Genomic DNA, 8,772 nt, shown 5'->3' with positions numbered 1-8,772 from the left:
TGATACATCACCAAAACAGAGGCCCTCTCTCTTGGATAATTTCTAGCATTCACATTTTACATACCAATTGTTCTCATTTTGTGCTTAGCAATATTGATCCTTACTCTTTTTCTTTTTCCTAATAATAGCTAGTTACTCAAACGTGTTTTTACTTTTGGAATGTCAACAAATGATACATCACCAAAACAGAGGCCCTCTCTCTTGTTTCCATCTGGAATTTTACTTTGTCTAAAAAAACTAAGTGTAGATTTAGATGGCTTTACACATGTGGTGTTAGCTATTAGAGACAAGAACAAAACATATTTTTCTAATCCTCCAATTGATATGAGAAATGACTTTTTAAGCTTTCTTGTCATAGAATTTTGGTGGTGAACTCCATTAGTGACTATTTGTAAAGTTTTTGTTTTGTTTTGTTTTGTTTTGTTTTTTTCTTTTTGAGACAGAGTCTTGCTCTGTTGCCCAAGCTGGAGTGCAGTGGCATGATCTTGGCTCACTGCAACCTCCGTCTCCCATGATCAAGCGATTCTCCTTCCTCAGCCTCCGAGTAGCTGGGACTGCAGGCATGTGCCACCACACCCAGCTAATTTTTGTATATTTAGTAGAGATGGGATTTTACCATGTTGGCCAGGCTGGTCTCAATCTTCTGACCTCAGGTGATCCGCCCACCGGAGCCTCCCAAAGTGCTGGGATTACAGGCATGAGCCACCATGCCAGGCCTAAAGTATTTCATTTTAAGGGACCAAATCTTTAAGTCTTTTGGAAACAATCACAGAGTAAATTAAGAGATGCAGGTTGTTTCCAAGGGATTACCTATATCGTCTTTGAACCATGCCTCTATCCAAAAGAATTCACACCTTTCTGCTGGATTTCAACAGAGACAAATTAGTACACAATTACTGCTGCACACCTCCTATGAGTTAGGACCCACTCAATCGTCCATTCACTTTTCTGTACTTTGTACCAAAACCCTTATAAATCTTGTAACTTTCTCTCCCTTAGATCTACTGTTTATAGGTTTCATTAATCACAATCAAATTGGTTATTTTGTTTCAGAAAATCCTTTTTACATTTGGCGATATCTGGTAACTTGAGTCATAGAGGAGGAGACTATATCATTGAATTAGAAAAGCCAAATGAGGAGCTAAAATTCCAGGGACAATACTGTCTTAAAACGTAAGGTCAGTGAAGTAATTTTTTAGGAAATGGAGCCACAAGAGAAGGAACAAATAGAAATCTGATTTCAAAACACACAATTGACAAGGAAATGAATAAATGTGGCACAGTCCCTCACCCATGCCTGGTTTGATTTGGCATAATAAATGCTTCTAAATGAAGGTGAAGAACACAAATGGATTCATAGGCACTATTCATTAAATTTTACAATGTAGATGCCATGTATTACTAGTTTATACCCATTATGCCAGCCATGAAAACAGACAGTTGTTTCCATATAACCTGAATCTAAAAGTAATCAGAGACAGCATGATGTAAGTTAGTCAGAGGGCCTAATAGGAATCTGGAATCCTGAATAATCGATGATAAATATATCTTAAGTCTAGTTTTCATTTACCTCTATAGAGAAGCTGAGGAATTCTGCAGAGGAAAATGTTTGTGTTTTGTCTTAATTTGTGGCAATAGAGATGGAAATAAGAGAGAGGAAAGTGACATTCATAAATGTGGATGAAAATTTTTGAGGTAGAGTTAATTTTTGCCTTTATTCCTGGAGGCAATTTATAAGGCTATTTTAACTTTGTATGTCCTAGTCTCGAGAAAGTATTGAATTTGTGATTTTAATATGCTGCTCCCTGCAGGCACTTTCCACGCCAGTAGTAATCTCTGCACTATCAGGCCAAGCTCTCAGCATGTGTAATAGCCAAGAAAAAAACTAGCAAACAGAACTCCAGGGGCATGCCATACATGTATGTATAGTTAGACAAGATTAGACAGCTCTACAGGGCACCCCTCAGAGGCAACCCACATTCTCAGAATGTCTGGAATATACATTAATGGGGCATTATATCTGTACTGTGCTTTCTAATATTTACAATATTTTATGCATATATAGTTCAAAGCAACTCTATATACTTAAATATATAAAGTATATATATTCTCTGAAATAGGCAGAGAAGGTAGTATCACATGCTTTTTATAAAAGAAGAAACTGGATGCACAGTTATGCAATTTACCTAAGGTCATGTGGTCAGTAAATGTCAGAAAGTGACTAGAATACAAGGTTTTCTGCCTCCTCATCTGCAGTTCTTTTTGTATAGTCACATTTCCACCCCCCCATCACCCCACTTATCTCAAATTCTGACTTCCCTAAGAAGTGAAGAAACTGAGAGCATTATTATCAGAAAATCTTAAAGAAGAGCAGAAGAAAGCCCTTGTCGTTGTATTTGTCTTATACTTTGTTCACATTGGCGAGCCTAGTCCTGCCTCAGCAAGCCTCAAGATCCAATCCCCTTACCTTAAAGTGAGACACCAAGATAAATAAAAATCCAAGCTCTTCAGACTGAGTCAACCATCATTCCCTTTGTCTATTCATTTATTCTTTCAAAAATATTCGAGTATTTCTCCTTCTCACTTCAGTGGAAAAGTTTTCCCAATCTCTGGAGCTCCAGTCCATCCTGTTCAACCTCCTCCAGAACTTGACTGTATTAAATAACATCTGCCTTTTCCTTATCCTCAGTGTGTCCCCACCTCAGAATCTATGATCGGTGAATATGTTTCCTTGACCATTGTTAGCTCTATTTGCCCCCTTCCACTCAAAGCCAAACTTCTTAATAAGAAGTTGTCTCTACTTCCTGACCCCTCATTTATTTGACTTTCGGCTACAGTGTTATTCCTCTGTAATCTGGCTTTGGTCTCCACTTCTACACTGAACATTTCCTTAATACTAGTTTCTTTCTCATACATCAATTGTCAACCTCACCAACTCTGTAGAATTTGACACTGTTGATCCCTCCCTCCTTCTTGGCTTTTGTGACATTTTCTCTCAGTCACCTTCACTGACTTTTCTTTCTCTTATCACTTTTTAAATACTGCTGCTCCCCAAGATTCTGATCTCAAGCCTCACTTTTTCTGAGTCAACACTTTCCCTAGGTAATCTCATCCAATATCCTAGTTTTAACTACTTCCACAGATTTTTATCTCCAGCCCAGAGCTACAACCTGAGTGCTAGTCTTACCATATTTCAGGTACCAGTCACCTTCTCAGCCAATCATTTCTGCCCTGTTTACCTTTGAACCTGCCAACCCATAATCTAGAAGGGACAATCCTAAAACCCATGTCAGCCCATTCTCTGTCCACAGGTGGTCACCTAACTCAACTGGGCCAGGTGATTCTCTCTCCTTGGAATTTTGATTGAAACTTGGGGAGTTAGAAGTAGAAACAATTAGGCGAAGAGCTATGATGTTTTAGCAAGTTGAGCCAAAGTCAGCATCATAACAATCCTAAGTCCATGTAATTTATATTCTGGTGAAGTAGTAACTAAGCCTAGCAGAGAAGCAAGGAGAAGAATGAAACACAAAGCAAAACAATCACACTGCCCCAGTGAAAGATCAAAAGTAGCTACAGACTGTTTTCCAACACATGGGAGGCCCAACTCTACTCCCTGTCACTGGGTTCTATGAGATTCTTCTAAACCCTCCAACAAGCCATGATTGCATTAGCCAGCTTGATGGAGTCTTCTGACCCACACAGACAACTTATCTTTTGTGTACCAATCTCTTTGCCATAAATATCCTTTTGGATGGTCTCGAAACTATTCATGATACCTCAAACCCAACATGTCCAAGACAGAACAACTCATTTCCCACACTCAGCAATGTCATCCCAACTGTATTTCTTGTCTTTGGTAATCAAACCACCTCTCCTTAATGCTACTGTTTGGAAATCTGGGGACCAACTAATCTCAAACTTCTCCCTCACTCTTCACAGCTATTAAATTCTTGATGCAACTTTAGCTGCCTTCTTCACCTCTGAATTATTTTTGTATCTTATGATTTCTTGCCTATGTTACTAGAGTAGTCTTGTGAATTTTTCATACTGCAGACGAAGTGATCTCTGAGTCACAAATATGCTAATAACTCTCACAGCTAAAGTACTTCAATGACTCCTCCTTTATCCTTTTAGAATAAAGCCTAAACCTTTTAGTATGACATCCAAGGACCTTCACGGTCCAGCTTCTGTCTACCTTTCTAATTTCATCAATTATCACTCTCCAGTATGTCCTCCCTGCTCCAGTCACCCTGAATTACTGTGAATCCCTTATATACAGTATGCCCCCCCATATACCTTCACATTTGCTGATCTCTCTGCCCAGAAATATCATCACAACTTTATTTTTCTTCCCCACTTCACTCACCCACATTGTTCTTCTACTCAGCTGGATGATAGCTACTTATCTTCCAAGACTTACATTTTCTCCAGGAAGATTTCAGTTAAGTATCTATCTGATATTTTATATCAAGAGCCCTCCATCAAAGAACTTGACACAAAATATAACCATCTACTCTTTTGTTTCTTTTATAAAACTGTGAGTAACTTGAGAGCTGACTCTGTGTCCTTGTAATCTCTGTATTCACAGCGCTTGGTATATAGCGGATGCTCAATAAACATTTGTTGAATAAATAAGACACTGAGAAGATGTAACTTCTATCCTCAAATATCTCATAGAAATAGTGGGAAATGAGAACACCTATGATTATGGAACAGTGACAAGTTCTATACCAGGTAGGCTCAGGGAACTATGAGAAAGAAGGAAGATAAAATTAACTTAGCTCAGGGGCCTTCAGGAAATAAGAGAGGGATTTAGGCTTGATGACTAAGTAGGAAGGACTAAGCGAGGCCAATGAGATGGGGAAGGGTTTCTAGCTCCTTGTAGCCGGTGCCGGTCTACTTATCTTTTATAAGTTGCAAGAAATGTTGCACATTGATATACCACTGTTAAGAGGCTCTCAACACTAGATTGGTAAAACAAATGCAGTCTGAGGAAACTAGCTAATTGTCTCAGCAGTGGAAAACCCTTAAAAACGTTTCAAACTATTGCAGCACTTAAAACTATTTTGGGTTCAACATGACCTCAAATATGTCTCTCTCTTGGAAATTTTCCCTCTTAATTTTGAAACATGAGTAGTGTTGAGAAAATTAATCTGTACTTTCTAGTCAACCACACTTACCTCATCCAGTTGCCGTTTTAGAAGTGTTGTTTATTATTCCAGGAAACTTCAAGGTCCTTATTGTAAGCTTTTTGACTTAGAAACAGGAAATCAGATTTTATCTCAAGTGTAATTTTAAACCACAGTATTTAAACATTTCCAGTAGTTTCCAGACTTCATCAGAGGGCTACTTCAATCTCCAACCCTCTGAAGTATTCCACTCAGATAAGAACTCCTGTGTTTAAACTGTACTGGATTTGCCCATTTATATCTCTGTAGATCCCGGTCAGAATGTCTTCCAGTTCAAAAACATACACACATTCTCTCATTCTTACGGAATCTACTGGAAATTAACATACACAAGGCTGTGGGCATCAAACTTTAGATCATTATAATCATCAAGAACAATTGACTAACTTAGAGTAAGATTTTCATTGCTGATAATTCTAGGCAAAATTCTTACCAAAACTGAAAACATGAATTTTCCTAACTGCATTAATAGATAAAAATGTCAATTATTGGAAAGCAAACCACTAACTCCAAAGGTTGCAAATGGTCTCAATCCTTATTCATCATAATTCCTTTAGGTCTATTAAGGAGAAATTTAGGGAGCTAAAGAGTAAGATATAATTAATGTAACTTGGTGTTGGTGATTTATTCAGTGACAAATTATAAGGCTGCTACTATAACATGCTCCCATGAGCTTAAAAGGAACAAAGCTCTTCTGTTTTAAGGATAGGTTATGATAGCAATTCTCAGATAATTCTCATTTCATCTTTTCCCACTGGTTATCTGTCAACTGAGGAGCCTTTAATCTGGAATCCTATTGTGTAGTTGCTATTTGAAAAGTCTTTTAACATCTCCATGACCCCTAATGCTGCAGAAAAGCTTTGCATTTTGAAAGTGTATTCTTGTCCATCTTAGCCACACTCTCCCATCTCCCATCTGAGTTGTTACTGGTTGATTGAATTGGCATCTGCAAAGGCTGAAGGTGCCACTAAAAGGGCAATTCCCCCTCCACTGATGTCAACATATCTTGATCTGTGGGTCTTTTTGAGAGATGATACAGACCTTGCTTAATAATCTAATAGAAGTGACAATTTTTCAGTACTAGCCTAGAGATAATCCTGCCTGCAAAAAGAAGATGGATTACACGAATAGAAGTCTAAATCCAATTGTGATGGCCTTTCTAATAAAATGAGCATATACAGATGTCCTACCATGCTCTTTGAGTCATGGCTAATCCAGAATTTAAAGAGGAAGTCTACTTCACATTTCTTTCTCTAATTTCACATATTTCTTCACAGTTTGCCCAGTCCTCCAAAGAGAAGCTCACAGTCACTGAGATTTTTAAATCACATGACTCGTAATTGTGAGTCACTGGCTGATTAAGCCTATAAAGTAGCTAAACCTCTCATCTTCTAACATGAGCCTTTAATTCCTCCATTCGGAAGTGAGACTGCAGCTGTTGTATATCACCATTATTGTTAGTTCTTAAAAACATGTCAAAGGTTTTGTTTTGCTTTGTTTAAAAAAAAAGACTTAAATAAGATATTGACAGACATTTAGAGAGGGAAGCAATGCTTTCAAACAGGAGTTAAAATTTCAAGTTAATGTTTTAATAATTACGTCTTCTTTTGGCTCAGTTTCACTTGGATCTTAGTCCCACAATCATGTCTTCAAAATATTCTGAATAAATCACCACCCAAAAAAAAAAGCCTTAACTCTCATTCAGGAAAATGATGAGTTTTACTGGGTTCTAAAAATGTTTCAAGAACAAAATTAAGTGAGTAATCACATTTGACTTATAAAGCAAGAGTAGAGCCTGAATACAATGCAGTCAGGCACCTCTGAGCTTTCTGGCCAAAATAATAAAAATAAAAATAAAAAAAGTATATAGCCTTTCCTGACTTCTCTTGTTAAAATCTCAGAAAAAAGAAGTCTTCTGGCTTCCACTGGTGATTCTTAACCTCATTCTCTCATGAGGGCCCAGTTCTATTAGTATTGGGTAATTCCAATTGGGTAATAACTAAGAAATTGGAGAGCCCCTTCCACTCAACCCACACCTTTGTTTAAAAAGTGTCTTTAGGAAGAGCTGGCCCCAAAAACCTTAAACCTTGCTACTCAATGGTCCTCAGGGACCAGCAGCAGCAGCAGCATCTAAGAGCTTGATAGAAATGTAGAATCTCAGGCTCCACCCCCAACTCACTGAATTAGAATCTGAAGTGTAATAAACTTCCCAGGTGATTTATATGCACATGAAAGTTTAAGTAGCACTACTACCAGATCATTACTGTGTAACCTCACTCAGAGATTTTCCACCTGTGAGCCCTTTGAATGAATAAACAATGTAAGTTCAAATTAAGCTAAAATAATCTGCCTTGCTCCTATATAAAATTTGTTTTTAGAAAGTCCCAAAACATGATAAAGAATGAATATTTTCATTATTGAACACTAAGAATTTAAAAGCTACTCCTTCATTCTACTCTTCAATGTAGTCTAAATGTTTCATTCCATACAAAATAACCCCTCCTAACCTCCTCCACCGGGCCTATCCCTCAACAGCTATAAAACCTTGGTAAAACCTCACATTTGGAATAGTCTTCATGGATGTTAATAAGCTACTAAAATAATAATTCAAATGCCTATAACAAATGACGACAGACACTCTTTTAAGTCCTTGTCTATATTAATTTATTGGATCCTTAAAACAACCCTAAAAGATCAGTTCTATGTTTGTTTTTGTTTTTGAGACAGAATCTTGCTCTGTCACCCAGGCTCTTACTCTATCACCCAGGCTGGAGTGCAATGGAGCAATCTCAACTCACTGTACTCTCCGCCTCCCAGGCTCAAGCAATTCTCCTGCCTCAGCCTCCCAAGTAGCTGGGATTACAGGGACACGCCACTGCGCCCAGCTAAATTTTTTTGTATTTTTAGTAGAGATGGGGTTTCACCATGTTGCCCAGGCTGGTCTTGGACTCCTGACCTCAAGTGATCCACCCGCCTCAGCCTCCCAAAGTGCCCGGAATGCCATATTCAACATTTATATGGTATATTTTACAAGGATGGGGTTTCAGCCCTGTCAACTGAGGTTCTTCATATATGCAGGCCAAGCCCTTCATACATCTTAAACAATATCCTAAAGAACACATATGTCTCCCAAAGTGATTGCTCTGGAGGGCTTCCTCACTTCCTCACTGGAAAGCCATGTTTTAGTTATTAGTATTCTGGTCAGACAGAAAACCTCCCTTGCAGAGCTGCAGTGGAGGGGAATGCAGCTTTGTGCACTATAAATAGTAATTTTATTAAAATGTAGAAAAATTGTTGAGAAAGGAAAAAGAGGTGGGGGCAGAGGGTTGCCATGGCAACTCGACCATTCCTTCAGTTTTGAAAGCGTGGGGAAGACTACAGAATAGTAAATAAAGAAGAGGAAATAGAGGAAGTCGGAATGGCACATGATCACAAACGGAATGAGACAGCTCAGACAGCCTAGTCTCAAACTGAGTGCTGAGCTAAGAGGCAGAGGGTGGGCCTCCCAAGGGAAGAGGGGATGCCTTTCTTCAGAGAGCAAGAAGACTGGCAGAGTGAAATCTTTGTCATCAGCTTTACCTCA

Source organism: Homo sapiens, chromosome 1 (assembly GCF_000001405.40).
Source record: "Homo sapiens chromosome 1, GRCh38.p14 Primary Assembly".
NCBI lineage: Eukaryota > Metazoa > Chordata > Mammalia > Primates > Hominidae > Homo > Homo sapiens.
Note: the sequence above shows the minus strand (reverse complement) of the source record.